Here is a 15630-nt window from a genome sequence, read left to right on the forward strand (position 1 = left end):
ACCTGATATCCCTTGATTCTGGTTTCTTAAGAATGAAGACTATAAGCTATTACAGTGATCAAATATTTCTCATAAGTTTCAGAGGAGACTAGCTTATAAAACTGGTCTCCTATGTCAAATGTTACTACATTCTAACCATCATACATTCATCTGTGGGATATTCTGAAAATGGGGTATTTGTAGCAATTTAAGACTCTTTGTAAGATTGTTTTCTCTTGTGAAAGTGCATTCCTTCATTTATAACCAAACGTTTATTTACTGAGGCACACACCACCTGAGAGTAATTTAAATTTTTCTTAGCCTGCTTGTTGGGAACGGCCTCTCGTTTTGTCCTGTTGAAATAGGAACAAGCAAACTTTTTCTAGAAAGGACCAGATAATATATATTTTTGGCTTTGAGGGCCACTTACAGTCTCTGTTGCATAGTCTTCATAGATGCCATAGTTGGCTTTTTGTTTCTTACAACCCATCAAACATGAAAAAGCCACTCTGTATTCTGCAGCAGGCCATCGTTGCGGGCACCTCCCTGGAACAAGAGGGCTTGGGAAGATGAGCAGCGTGGTTTAGGAACGTGGCTTGACCGTTCAGAGTGGCTCACCAGGAGCCCACTGCTCCCACTCCTTTAATGTGCATGTGTATATAAATGTATATAAACATGTTTGTTGGTGTTAGGTATATATGTATGTTGGTTATAGTTATTGTAGACTGTTACAGCTTTTAAATTGTTTGTCACATTTATATGAACTAGAAGACTTTTGAGGTTCATTTTTGCACTTATGAGTCCACACACATACAGTGCTTTTACTTTTAAAATTCTCCCCAAGTGTTTGAATTTCCTTATCTCAAAAATTTTTGACCTTAAGACACAACTATACATACATTGAACTTTTAGCCTCAACATTATTTCATATATGAAAACAAACTTTATGCTGCCTTCTTTCAAAGCCTTACAGTTGCCAGGGCTTTGGTGTGAAATGCCCCCCTCTGCTTTTCCTGAGATGAAGTACAATCTTAGTACCAGTAGCCAAGCACAAATTCCTTTTCACACATAAACTATAAAAGATGTTAAGAGTGACTTCTGTTTGGAGAGCTTAGGATTTTTTTCCTGTATCATTTTAAAATCTCTTCATACATTCCACATTGACCCCATTTCTTAAACATAGTTTGAGTCAACCTTTCTGGAGCTGCACATTTTCAGTGTTTTTTATTAAAAATCTTTTCACTTAAGAAACTATGCACCACATTTCAGTAGAAGGGCTTGAACACGTCTCTTTGTGGATTAGCTTTTCTCTCTACTTGTGTGCTGACCCTACCTTTGCTTAGTTTGGTTTGGTTTTGGAGGGATTTAACAAATGCTTAACAAACCATCCTATGGAGTAATTTCACTTACTGAAACAAACTCGACCACCAGCCACTGAGCATTTCCAGTGTTGCTCTGTATTTACACACTGGATGTTGCTCTGCAGAACCTGTCCACCCCATCATGTGATGTGGAATATCAATTCTGCATTCATGCTAGAGCCTTCCCTTACCTGGTGGAAACAGAAATGCCATTTCAGTGAGTGAGTCTATTTTAAAACAGCTTCTGCTGTGTGAGTCTTGAAGACAGAGGTTTGCTTGGAATGCTGGTTTGCCTCACAGAATGTTGTGTCAGCAGAATTCCATTCAGAAAAGTGTACAGATGCTAATTTAATTATAAACAAGAACTCAGGACTGTATAGGTTGATGCAAAAGTAATTGAAGTTTTGCCATTTAAAAGTAATGGCAAAAACTGCAATTACTTTTGCACCAACCTAATATTTAATTCTGACCTCTTCTCATTCTGTTTGTTCTAAATAAACACCATTAATGAGAGAAAAAATACGAGGTATGCTTTCCAGCGACTTTTTATTTAAACAACCACAGGTATTTTTTTAATGAAGAAAGCATTATGTGTTCAAAGTAGATGTTATAGAAAAGAGCAGGTGAGGATAGTTGTTAAGGTTGGGACCATGTTAGTTTTAGAAGTTTGTGGTCCATAAACTTGGAAAATGATACCTATTTTAATTCAAAATGTGGTTATTTTGAATTTTTTATGTCTTTTCAAAAATAGGTGAGTAGCCAAGACTCCTTTGTCAGTAGGAGCATTTATTTGCATTAAATATCCCATTGTTCATTGGGAGTCTGTTCTGTTCATTGAAACCCCCTCTACACACAGCAGTCACATACAGATGAATAAGACCATTAAAAAAAAGGTTTTTTTTTTAAAATCCACCCAAAAAACTGCAATATATTTTTGCTTTTTGTTTTTCTAATTTTTTAGACTGCTGTAAGAATTTAGCCCCTACTACTCCCAAAACCACCAGCCCTCCCCAGGTTGATAAACCTTTGTTGCTTCTTAACAAATGGCAAGACTCACTAACCTTGTACTGCCTTAAAATAAATGTGCTGTGAATGCCAGAAGTGGATTTTATGATCCTTGCTCTTAAGCTGGTAAACTTTGCTAGGGAGGCAATTGTTTCCCTCCATTTTATGAGAAATGAGATTTTTCTACCCTCTTATGAGAACTCTTGGAGGACTGAACCTGGAAGAGTGTTTAGTATGTTATCCACAAAAAAAGAAAAGCAAAAATCACTGAAAGAATAAGCCTTCTGAGAACACAAGGCCTAGCCTCTCTTTAAAAAAAAAAAAAAAAAAAAAGCTATTCTAATGACAATGCAGAAAGGATTACCTTCTTAGAAGCTTCTCAGCCAAAACCAGCCTTGAAAACATAGTGGCTTAAGAGACAGCATGGCTGCCTGGCTTGTCTGTGAGCACTGTTCCAGAACAAGCTGGGCTCAGGTAATGGCTTTCTATTGTTTGGAAAAGAAAGGGCAGAAAAAGTACGTAGTCTTTTCCAAGTTTCTATTCTGTAAACTGAAAACATAAATTTTCCTTGTGAGCACAGTTTAAATGTGAGGACGTCTCAATATAAAATGAGTCGGAAAATATTTTTAAGGTGAAAGATCACAATAATATTTGGCCTGAATCCTCATAACTGGTATTTTTAGGCATCATTTAATATATTTTTAGACCTCCAAGTGACTTCCTCAGTAAAGTTACTTTTGTATGCCAAATGTTATTTTTGTTTAGTGTGGAAAAAAAAAGCTGATGTCCTATCTTATACCACCTGCTTTTTGATACATCCCCAAATCCAGGGAATTAATAAAAGGAAATCATGAGATGTGCTGATACTGGAATTAAACTAAAGACCTCATTTGGGCTTCAGGACATAGCAGCTAATGACCCCACCTCAGACACTTTTACATCCATCAAGTAACTCCCTCAGCTGTAGTAGCTCTTCAGAGACACAGAGGGAGTCAAATGGAATTGGCTTATTTTTTTCTTTATTTTTCACGGTTAGAGCTCTCAGAGAAATATAACTTAAATTTTATTAGATTTTGGACATTTTCCAGCAGAATATTTTGGAATCAAGAATGACGTAAATGTTTTTCTGGTGTTGTCCCCCCAAACTCTTGGATTTGCAATTTACTTCACAAAATTCAGTCTGTGCATGTGTGCACACATGTACACGGCGTGTTTATCATACCTGCAGGCCAAACTCAGAAGAGGCACTGCTCATCTGTGCGTTTGGGGGTCTGGAGCGTTTGATTTATTGGAGGCTAACTCCCTGTTCCCATTCTCCTTAGGAATGCCACATCCATTAATTTACTTGCCCTTCGTATCTTTTCCCCTCCCCAGCCCTAGCCCCCTGTGGAGTGGTAATTGCAGCCAAATGAGGGGCTCCATTTCCTGCTCAGCCCTCTTGCTGCCCAGCCTCCCTCCCTGTGTAGGTCAGGGTGATTGCATACCTGTTCTGTCACCCTTCCTTTACGTGTGGTGTTCACTAGAATTGTCCCCTTGTGGGATGCCCCTTACCTTTTCCTAATCACTTGTGTGACTCAAATAGAATTATTCAGTAGCTCCTCTAAAGGAGTACCTTACACACTTGATTAAAAGCCCAAAGAGGCTTCAGTGAATTTTTTTTCTCCTGCTTGAGCAGCATCTGCCAATTTCCCTGATTTTCCTGCTAATTATCTTCGTATTAGCCAGAATTCATTTACTGTGTTATGGTTGAAATGAGACTGAGCACTGGCTGAGGAAATAGTGGATATGGAGTGAAAGGTTTCTATGATTTGCTTGACTAGAGAGTATGTGTGCTCCATCTACGTTCCTATTAGAAATGAGCTTTTGTTTTTAAAACAAGGGAAATCTGAGTCGAAGCCACTGGTTCTCTTCCTGCTTCTCCCAGGGCGCCATACCTAAGACAGGGCCTGTCGCATTCTCTCAAGTACTGTCACTTTCCCTTCACTCACATTAAAAGGAGTCAAGAGCCTGACCTTTGGGGTGAGCCAGCAGGTTCATAGTCTGGCTCTGTCACTGGATAACTGACTGTCTTTGGGCAAGTTTTTTTTTTTTAACTTTTTAAATAGTTACCTCACCTATAAAATAAGGGTAAGATGTATCCAGTAGGATTGCTATTAATCATGGTAATATATGAAAAGGGCATCTGGAATATAATAAGTACTCAATAAGCGGTGGTGGTTTTTATTATTAGGACTATTACTGATAAAACTAGAATTGTTTTTGCACTTTACAGAGTATTGGTAGACTCACATTTTTGAACTCCATTTGTATAAACAGGGAAAAGTAACATAGTATACAAATCTCCATTACTCAGTGTTTCAAGAGAACCCAAAATCAGCAGTATTCCTAGCATCAATTTGCTTTCTTTGGGCATTCCACTCAGATTTAATAATCATACTGATCTCAAGAACTGCACAAAGATGAACACACACATAAGCTCACTTTCACATAGTCAGCTTATATGTATAGAAAGTGTTTATTACATCTTAGAGTATGGTATAATAGATTATATTGTAGGTAGATGAAAATAGATCCCTTAGACCGACTCATTTTGCGGGAGATTTCTCCAAAATCTAAAATGTAACTTGTAAAATCTAAATATTACAATTTTGCAAGTATCTACCATTGTGGGGTAGGTAGGTTAGCCAGTGATTTGGATTTGGGGCTCAGTTATTTTTGATGAGACCATTATTGAACCTTTTAAAATATTGTTGAATTCCCAGTTATTATTTCCTAGACAAATGTATCAGAAATTGAAGGTAGAACGAGTTTTAACTAACAAAATATACAATCTAATTTGTGAGAACATAAAAATTCTGATAATTTATGAGATGACATTAAATCAGTCAGGCCCATTGGTTTCATAAAATTTTAAGTCTGGCTCTAGATGTCCTAATTTCTAAACCAGGTTTTTTCTTTATAAAAAAGAACGTAAAAAGTATTTAATATATAGAAGAAGTTGTGTGCTTAATTGTTTTGCCCAAGTTTCTACAGTTGGGGTTGGTTGTGTCTGGTAATTAGATACAATTACATGTTAGATAAGGTCTCAGTAATATGTACCAAAAAATATAAAGTACAAAAATAAAAATTCCATTTTCTTTTTGTTCCAGGTTCTCTGGGAGATGCTAACAAGGGAGGTCCCCTTTAAAGGTTTGGAAGGATTACAAGTAGCTTGGCTTGTAGTGGAAAAAAACGAGGTAAGACTACGTTTCTCCATTCAGGTACATAGATCAGAAAACAGTATTGGGGTTTTGCAAAAGACTTTTTCATCTTCTTCAAATTGAAAGTAAGTTCACGCTTATGGAAAGATTAGCAGTAGGAGCTAACACAAAGGGTCAAAGTGATGTTATTCCTCATGAATGGACCCTTTACATCTAATTGTTGCAGCTTCACGTCGTGATGCTGTAGATCAAAAATTGTACAAGTACTGTACTAGTTTCTCAGTCTCAATTGTAAAACCTAGGGGTTTGTTCTTAGTGATGAAAGAAGCCATTGCGTCCAAGGTAGGGGAACAGTTTAACTCCATCTCCTGCGTTTAGGACATCTTTTTTACTGGCCGGGAGTTGATATATCTGTAAGAGACCTTCAGCTACTTCAACTTACCTCTCCCAGCAGGAGTCACTATAGTACAAGAAACTGTCGCTTAGATGAGAATTTCAAAAATAAAAGAAGAAAAAATAGTTTCAAAAAAGGGAAAAATTACAGTTTTGCCACCTACGTTGAACACTACATTGAAGATGAGCTCCTCACTGGAATTGGCGAGGCAGTGGCATAACTGTTCGCTTCTTCATGCAGAGCCTTTCCATTTCAAAAGAACTTCAGTGGCGTAAACACCGTTTGTGCTGTGTCCCCAGCCTCGCTTCTCTTCTTCCCACAAATTGAGGCTTTCAGTTAGTTGGACCTATGAGCCTACATCAGAGAACATGGTACATTCATATCAAAGAGAGCAACTACATTTTGAAAGGTTTAAAATTGTGACTGAAACGCACAGCCATGGAAATTCTCAGCATAAGGATGAAGCATCCAATATCAAGGTATTATGAGAACTTAGATCATGTAATGGAAGCAAGCAGTTGTCTTTGCAATGCAAAACTACTTTATTTCACAAAACTTCTTCATTTCCAAATCTTATCTGTGCTCTCCACAAAGGGTAAGACTGCAACCTTAGAATAAAATAATTTGCAAAAAGGTGAATATATAAAAATATTCCCTTTTAATGCTCTAAAAGAATTAGATTCATCTGCTTCCCAGGTGAATGCAGGAACAAACTAGATTAATCAAAAAGCTGCTATTGACTAGGAGAAACCAAGTTTCCATCTTTTAGATCACATAATCCAGAGTTACCATATAATTTTTCCTCCTGATTCATTGGGAGTGGATGAAATGTTGATGATAGCTGAAACTGATGGGAAAGAGCTGCCAATTTAAGAAATGAAAAGGAGTTATATGCAAGAATGTGCCTTACTCATTGTTTCACAGGAGCTGTTCTGTTTTAATTAAAAGTGATAGTAATTCCTCATGTGCTATTAAATAAGATCTTACACACAGGATGACTGATATTGTCGTCATATGAGGAAACACTTGTTTCTGTTGTATTTCTTTTGCCAGTAAGATGATTAGAGATCTTGTTCTGGGTTTACAAATGAAAGCAAAGAAAATTACTGACCTTGTGTAGACTCTGGAACCAAAACATTCAGTGTAATCTTTTCCCTCTGCACTATTCCAAGATAAACTAGGAGAAAGGTTGTTTTTTTTTTTTTTTCATTTTGTTTTGTTTTTGTTTTTTTAGCTAACTGGACCCTCCAAATATGTATAAGACAGAATAATTAATATTTTTAAATAATATCTAAAGGGTGGCAGAATAGATATAAATTTAAAGCACTTTTTAAAACATTGGAGTATCCGTGAAGGATTTTTAAAGCTGAAGAAAAAAATGAATTTAGAAGCTGCCTGGATAGTTGACTTGAGGATTGGAATCACCCATGAATAACCTTCAGAACCTCTTCAACATTATACATGCAGAAGCAGTCTTTTTTCTCCCCAGAGATCCCAGAAAGTAGAGTTTACTATTTTATTCATGATATGTTCTGATGATCAGCTAATAACTGATGAAGACTACTCAAATACTTCCCACACTGTATTCATTAAATATAATAGTTAGTTGAAAAAAGCCTACATGGTGAAATACATTTTCTCAACTTTCTAATGAACTTCAGTAAAATTGGGTATTACAAGGATATTTATCTGCTATTCTCATTCTGTACAATATTTATTTGTCAAAAATATGGAAATTAAGTTTCAATGTAAGTTTCAACATCATCATTTAAGAAGGTATCTTCATTTCACCTCACAAATGGAGGTATCCATTTCCAAAATAAATTCTGTTGACATAGCATAAAGATAATTCACAAGGGTTTATTTCATTTCATAACAAAATTGAGGCTTTGACTTAAACATAATTTACAAAATCCCTTCAACTTCTAATTCTTTTACTGTATTTTTACTATTGAATATTTTGGGTTATGGGTTGAAAAGAGAAAGTCGTATTTTTAACAGGCCTCATTTAAATAAAGAAAGACATGTTCAAGTGTTCAGGAAGACATTTTAAATGTTATCTAGTCATCTATAATATCTATATCCAAGTATTAGAGTTGTCTTTTTTTTAACTTTTTATTTTGAAATAATTATAGATTCACAGGAGTTTGCAAAAATATTACAAAGAATCAAAAAATTAGCTGGGTGTGGTTGTGCATACCTGTAGTCCCATCTACTGGGGAGACTGAGGTAGGAGGATCCCTTGAGTCCGGGAGGTCAAGGCTGCCACCATTATCATACCACTGCACTCCAGCCTGGGTGACAGAGTGACACCCTGACTCAAAAAAGTTTTTTTATTTTTAGTAGAAATGGGGTTTCACCATATTGGCCAGGCTGGTCTTGAACTCCTGACCTCAAGTGATCCACCTGCCTCGGCCTCCCAAAGTGCTGGGATTACAGGCATGAGCCAACGTGCCCGGCCAAAAAAGTTTTTTAAATTAACAAAAACTAAAGAAATTTGTGTACTCTTCACCCAGCTTCCCTCACTGGTGAAATCTTACATGTCTGTAGTATACTGTCAAGACCAGGCAATTGAGATTGGCGCATTACTCTTACCCAGACAATAGACCTTATTCATTTTCACCATTTAAGATTACTTTTTGCATCTATAGAAAAATCAATACTTTCTAAAAATTATATCTGAAGATCTTTGCTTCTAATCCCTTAATAATAAAATAAGATGTTTAAACAGTCATATTTCTAATATTAAATCCTATTAAAACTAGATTCATAAAGCACTGCTAAACTTTACAAAGTAAACAATGAACCTTTATAGAAGGCATGAAATTAAGAGGGCATTACTCATAAATTTTTTAAATGGAACAGATGGATATATTTGCTTTTGTCATTTCCATGGTACTCAATCAGTGATCATTCAGAATGTTCTGGTAGCATAATTTCTATTTTTATAAATACTTAAATTCTTACATATGTGTTTGTTCTAAATAACAAAACTATTTGACTAACAGAAATCTTCATAAGACTTAATCCACTGTTCTTGACTATACTTTAGAAAAAGATAAAAACTTGACTTAAAAAAAATTTTACATCTTATGTAGAAAATGGTGCAAAAATGAATATGCTCTTTTAAAAATGTCATGCCTAATTTAGTGATTGGGAAATATTTTAATTTGAAACTTTTATTTAAAAATATTTGTTTTAAGTAGTATTGCAAACCTGGTGCTAAGATCTGGTTATTTCAGAATGTTTTCATGTATTAGGAATGCCCACAGTTATGTAATCAGGACTTAAATAATTTGAATTCTATTTTAAAGTACTTTTTAACGCACCAAAATAATCCATTGCATAAAGTGTCTGAGTCTAGATTTAACTGATATTTGGCCATGTCAGATTATTTAAAATAATTGTGTTTCCTTGTGTAATGACTTCGATGTGGTATCTAAACAGTTTTTCAGTAAGAAAAGATCACAGAAATGATCATCCTCCATATTCAGCCAGCTCACATTCAGTTCTCAGGAAAATGTTGAGACACAGTTGTACTGAAAAATGTTACCCTTGACGAAAACTCATTATTTTTAGTTACAGAGTACATTCAAGTGCATAATTGCAATTATAGTCTACTTTTATTAATTCCCAGCCCCCAACCATTTTATATTTAAAAAAGTAAACACCTGAATTTTTTTTTAACCTTCATCAAAAGGTCTGCAGTTTACAGTAAAATAATAGTACAGTTTAATACATCTTGTCCTATTCTGTGAAATCACAAGACTAGAAGTTTGAAAGTGCTTAGCACGGCCTTTAGTTTGGAGAGAGTTGTTTTGTTTTTCAACTTTGTTTTGATTTTAGGATTATCTGTAATTCAGAATACAGGTTGTCAGTTTTCTTGTCAAGGCAACTATGTTTCTAGCTTCTCATAGCCTCCCCCAAATCCAGCCAAGTTCAGTTTTAAGTTTTTTATTTGCAAAACTTCTTTGGCAAACAGAACTGTGGAATAAGTCTTAATACTTATTACAGCAGTTCTCAACTCCATCACACCCAATGCTCATTTTATAACAACTATGTTAACAACCCCTTACACTCCCTTGAGGTGAAATTCAAAGGTAACACAACTACCTACACACATTATATTGTAAGTTAACATAATGCTCTAACTGTAATATAAAAGAGAAATAAATGAAAGATGTTTTCCAGTGTACAAATGCTCAAGCATGACCACACCAGAGGAGATTTTGGAACAGTTTTAGGGGATAAATAGAACTCAGCAGCTACAAATGCACCCGGATGGAGTTGGGTTGTATTAACGACTCCAGTACTGGGAGTAGCACTGTTGTTGTTATGTCAGAAATCATGATAAAGTTATGAATCATGCAAGAATCAATAAGCCTTTGATTTATTTTATTTGGTAGATGCATTCTGCAGAGTTCAGTGTATCTTAAAACTGTTCAAAAGAATACTTTGTGTTTATTTGTAAGTTAGAGTTAGATTCTAGGCCCAGAAAATTATAAACTTCATTGTTTGCTTGTTTTACTTACATGAATGTAAATGGGGCATTTGAAATTTTGTGGGATACAGGGGAGTTCCTGGTTATGCAGGATAGTATGGTATATTGAATTGTCTAGCATTCCTGACCTGTTATACTTAAAAGTCGGTTGCAACCCACCAGTCTCTAAAACAAACACAAAATGCTTCTGTGGAATAGAGGCACCACAAGTTCTATGAGAAGCACCACTGTAGGATGTTAGAACAGGACCATCCTCACATTATAATTTTTGTTGTATCGGGTCCTTAAAGTATATGGGTTTGACCAAAACAAAGCCGTAATCAGTCATACGTTCAGAATGTCTTATTTACCACTGAGAAATGTAGAGTTTTTAAAATTATCTCTGTGATCTGTGCTCAGATGTTTTCAGAGTTGTATACCTACTGCCAAAGCTAAACTGGTTTCTAGTTACCTGGCCTATTTACATATATCGCAAGTTGCCTATAAACATACAGTGACATATGGTTTTATATTTAATATTTAAGTTCCGACTTGCCCCCTCCTACTGTAGTTCTGTTTAGATATTTTATGTTTTGTTGCATTAGTTGTACTGAACCTGACTTCTCCGTTCACTACAGTTCCCTTTCAAGAAAAAGTATGAGTCTTTAGAGATTACAGATCTAAACATAAATTGTCACTTGTCACATATTAATCAATGGAAGCTTTAAATTTCATGCCTTATGTTCTTAAAATAACTCTATTATGACCCTTCAGATACGGTGTTTGCTGACATTAATGAATAAATCCCTGTTTTATTTTGTTTTGTTTCCCTCTGTCTATTGTAGAGATTAACCATTCCAAGCAGTTGCCCCAGAAGTTTTGCTGAACTGTTACATCAGTGTTGGGAAGCTGATGCCAAGGTATACATATGTATTTTTGTTATTGTTTAGAATTCTGAAATTTCTCTTGTTTGGCTTTCAGTTTTTAAAACTTAGGGTAATAAAATTCATTACAAAGCAAAGCTGGATTGATGCTCCTATGAGCCCCAGATTGACTGTTAAGGTTTTCTGTTGACATTCTGCTTAATCTTGATCTCTAGAGACTCATTATTAACTCATTCTCATAGCACGCTTTGACATTCTGAATTCAGTATAAATAATTTTATTATTTTGTTTTTAATTTTTAGTAATAACTATTGCACCTATATGCTATTGAGATGGCTAAGACACAGTACTTAGAATATGCCAGGCACTGTTCCAAACACTTTATGTATGTTAACTCATTTATTCCTCAGAATATCTCTATGAAATAGATGCCTCAATTATCCTCATTTAACAGATGAAGAACCAAGACATACAGAGGTTACATCATGAGCTCAAGGCCACACAGCTAGTAGGTAGTAGGGCTGGACATGAACTAGGTCTGGCACAGTCCCTGCTCTTAACCACTGCACTATTTTGCTTTTCTAGCCAAAGAGCAGACAAAAGTAGCGCTTCTAGAGCATCTTGATATGTACTGCCTGTCCAGCTTCAGTGATGTTTTTGAGCTCCACAATAGAGTTGGAGAAATTCCAAAGCTTAGGCTTTCATGTGGTTATCACATTTGAGCATGAATGGCCCATATCCTTTCCCTGCAAAGATCATTTTAAAAGACTCTCGCATACATATGGAAATGTTTACAGATGAAATGATAGGCTAGTCTTGGATTTGCTTCAAAACAAAGTGAAGGGAAATGGATGATGGTATAGATTAAAATGGATTGGCCATGATAATTTTTGAAGCTGAGTGATAATATATAGAGGTTCATTATATTGTTATCTCTACTTTTGTATATTTTGGAATTTTCCATAATGAGTTAAAAAATAAAAAATAGGCTGGGCGCGGTGGCTCACGCCTGTAATCCCAGCACTTTGGGAGGCAGAGGCAGGCGGATCATGAGGTCAGGAGATCGAGACCATCCTGGCTAACACAGTGAAACCCCACCTCTACTAAAAATACAAAAAATTAGCCGGGCGTGGTGGCGGGCACCTGTAGTCCCAGCTACTTGGGAGGCTGAGGCAGGAGAATGGCATGAACCCGGGAGGCGGAGCTTGCAGTGAGCCAAGATTGCGCCACTGCACTCCAGCCTGGGTGACAGAGCGAGACTCTGTCTCAAAAAAAAAAAAAAAAAAAATAAATAAATAAAATAAAACATATTCTCACAGATTAAAGATTAGAATAAGAGAGCAGTTACACTCAAGAAAGGAACAAAAGTTTTATAGTTTAAATTTGTCCAGTTTTTTGTGGAAATAGAGGTATTAAAACTGATCTTTTAAACAGAGACTAAAAAGAAAGACTAAAGAATCAAATTTCTTACTGAATGTAAACCCTGTTCCAATCTGACCCCCAAGAAGAATGGCCATAAAATATACTCTGTTCTTCTACAATATGTTTCTTTAATGGGAATAACTAACTCAGAAGCAATTGGTGAGAATGGAGACTGGGGACTATGTTAGTATAACACAGAATTCATGTTGATGGTTCATAATGTTTCCCAACACATTGTTCTGCACTGAGCACAAAGTGTAATAATGCAGCCAACAAGGCAGCAAGGGACCAGTGCCATGAAGCCTGTTCACTCCACGTGCTCCTTCTTGGCTTGGCTTGGCTTAACTTGGAAGAATTTGTTGCTGGTTCTCCCAGCAACAAACTGTGCTGCGTACATGTTGCAAAATCTTTGCTTTCACTCCTGGTCTTTAGACTTCCCTTACCCTTTTTTTTAAGTAGAGTCCTAGATATTCCTAGTATTATTTTTACTAAAGAATAATCTTTTTAAACTGTGTTAGTATTTTATTTAGGATTGTTGTTCTTTTTATTAGTATTTGATGACACAGTTGCATGGTTTTTGAATGGTCTGCCCTGCTCCTTTTTAGTACATGATTTTGTAGAATGGGGATTTTTAAGCATTAAGAGAAATGCCTACACTTTGCAACTAGTTCAGTAGAAACTATAAGCACGTATTTTCAAGCTTGCTTTAAAACATTTATTTTATACTGTTAAAATGGTATCATACTACCCCTTCCCTACCCTTCTTACTAGTTATATGTCCATTGTGATGTAGAAGTCATTTTGGACATATGTTTCTCTCTGATACATAAATAGAAATTTTGCCTGAAATTATTTGCATTGAATTTGATTATTGCAGCTAGATCTCTATAATTGTGATTAGATTTCAGTATGCAAAGCAAATTTTGAGTTTCTTAATTGAGCACTCAGTACCACATTAATTAAAATTCTAAGAATGTACATTTATGGTACATCCACCTTACACAACAAGAACATTAGGCCCAGTCTTGAAGCTGTGCAGCTGGCATGTCTTTAAATGTAGTAAGCTAACCCTTCTTTAGGACCAAAGAAATCTTGCATTCCAGCCACATGAAGTATAAAGGAAGTTTAAGATTGATTTTTATTTTCTAAATTCATGTCATTTTATTCTGATTAAACAGTGACATGTCCCCTGTATTTGATTTGGTTATATACCTGGCCACGGCCCACATTTCCAACTCTCTCACTGCTGATCTCCTCTAGACACACCTTACATACTTTCATTCCCAAACAAGTTCTCTTCCTTCTTTACTTTCTCCTCTGAATACTTCATCATCAAGTCTTCCTTGGTTATTCTATTTATCCCACCCCAGGCTTAGCACTTTTCCTAAACCACAGTCTGGGCCTTACCTGGTACAGCTGTATTTTTAAAGACATATTTTCTTCCTAGATGGACGGCAAGCTTTATAAGGGTGTAGAGGTAATTGTTACATGTATTTGCCTATTGCACATTACATCAATTTGGAAAGTGGATGCCAAATTTGTTGTTGCCTGAAGTAGCCAGACCACAGTAAATTTCCTGAGTGGTACATCCATTTTCTGGCTAGAAATACGTAGCAATTCAACCAGAAGTTAGTGCCAGTCCTATGCACATATGTAGAGCAATAAAGTACTTTCTTTTTTTTTTTTTTTAAGTCCTTAAATTTTTAGAGTATTAACAAACATCTAGATTAAAATATTCAGCCCACCTATAGAACTGCTGTTCTTTTGCAATGAGGGTCGGGGGCGGGGTGGTGATGTATGCAAGAGAAAGCTGATATTAGGTAAATGTCAAGTCCTTCTAGTGGCTTACAACAGGTGCTCAAAATATTTTATTGAAGAGAAGGAGAAAAAAAGGAAAGGTGGGTATTGGTTCAGGTCCTAAAATGACATTTCTAAATAGGGAAAAAAATAAGTTGGTCTCGTGCAGTGGCTCACGTCTGTAATCCTAGCACTTTGGGAGGCCAAGACAGGCAGATTGCCTGAGCTCAGGAGTTGGACACCAGCCAGGCAACACAGTGAAACCCCGTCTCTACTAAAATACAAAAGATTAGCTGGGCGTGGTGGCGCGTTCCTGTAGTCCCAGCTACTTGGGAGTCTGAGGCAGGAGAATCACTTGAACCTGGGAGGCAGAGGTTGCACTGAGCCGAGATTGCACCACTGCACTCCTGCCTGGGCAATGGAGCAAGACGCCGTCTCCACAAATAATAATAGTAAGTTGAAGTCATAAGTTCAATAGGAAGTAGTATCTTACCCTTATGTGATAAAAGATGTTGAACAGTTTATGAACAGAGCCCTTGGTTCTGTAACTTGCTTCCTGTGTGATGCTGGGCACTTCCTACTCTTCTGAGACTTGTGGTCCTTACCTATAAAATGAAGATAACAAATAGAGAAATAATGTATGTAGATGCTTCACAAATGGTCCCAGTTTTTTTTTTTTTTTTGAATAAGCAAATCCTATGTGATGCCTAAAAGGAACCTAATCCGCTTCAGAGGAATTTATATAAGATCCTAGACAAAGTGTTGTATTCTGTAACCAGAATACTCATAGAATATTATTACCACAAAAATCTACATTGTTATCACCTCTTAAATGTTCACTTTGATAACCTCTATCCAAGAGTAGGTTCTGACTATAAAATTAAATTTTTTCTAGGGATGCTGGTCATCCAATTACAGAAGAGTTTCACCTTATTTTAAGAATGATTAAATGTAGGGAAATTATTCTTTAAAAATTCATTAGCTCTTCCTGCTGCTTTTCCTTGCAAAATGAAAATCCTTTATTATATAATTAGTTCTTATGCAAATGATTAAAACATTTTTCAGGCCAGGCACAGTGGCTCATGCCTGTAATCCCATCACTTTAGGA

General features: G+C 36.1%; 1 protein-coding gene and 1 long non-coding RNA gene across 9 annotated transcripts in view; one reads left to right on the top strand and one right to left on the bottom strand.

Moving 5' to 3' along the window:
- Positions 1-15630, top strand: part of MAP3K20 (mitogen-activated protein kinase kinase kinase 20) — a 192499-nt gene that overhangs the window by 117015 nt on the left and 59854 nt on the right. For all 8 annotated transcript variants that reach the window (XM_047444746.1, XM_017004324.2, NM_016653.3 and 5 more), the window contains exons 8-9: positions 5495-5581; positions 11265-11339. In XM_047444746.1, coding sequence (XP_047300702.1) covers positions 5495-5581; positions 11265-11339 — 162 coding nt within the window. The remainder of the gene's footprint in view (positions 1-5494; positions 5582-11264; positions 11340-15630) is intronic.
- MAP3K20-AS1 (MAP3K20 antisense RNA 1) overlaps positions 5181-15630 on the bottom strand; it is an 84325-nt gene continuing 73875 nt past the window's right edge. Inside the window, exons 7-8 of the long non-coding RNA NR_033882.1 lie at positions 15016-15127; positions 5181-6293 (exon numbers count right to left, since the gene is read on the bottom strand). This is a non-coding gene — a long non-coding RNA (MAP3K20 antisense RNA 1). The remainder of the gene's footprint in view (positions 6294-15015; positions 15128-15630) is intronic.

This window comes from Homo sapiens, chromosome 2 (genome assembly GCF_000001405.40).
Source record: "Homo sapiens chromosome 2, GRCh38.p14 Primary Assembly".
Taxonomy (NCBI): Eukaryota; Metazoa; Chordata; class Mammalia; order Primates; family Hominidae; genus Homo; species Homo sapiens.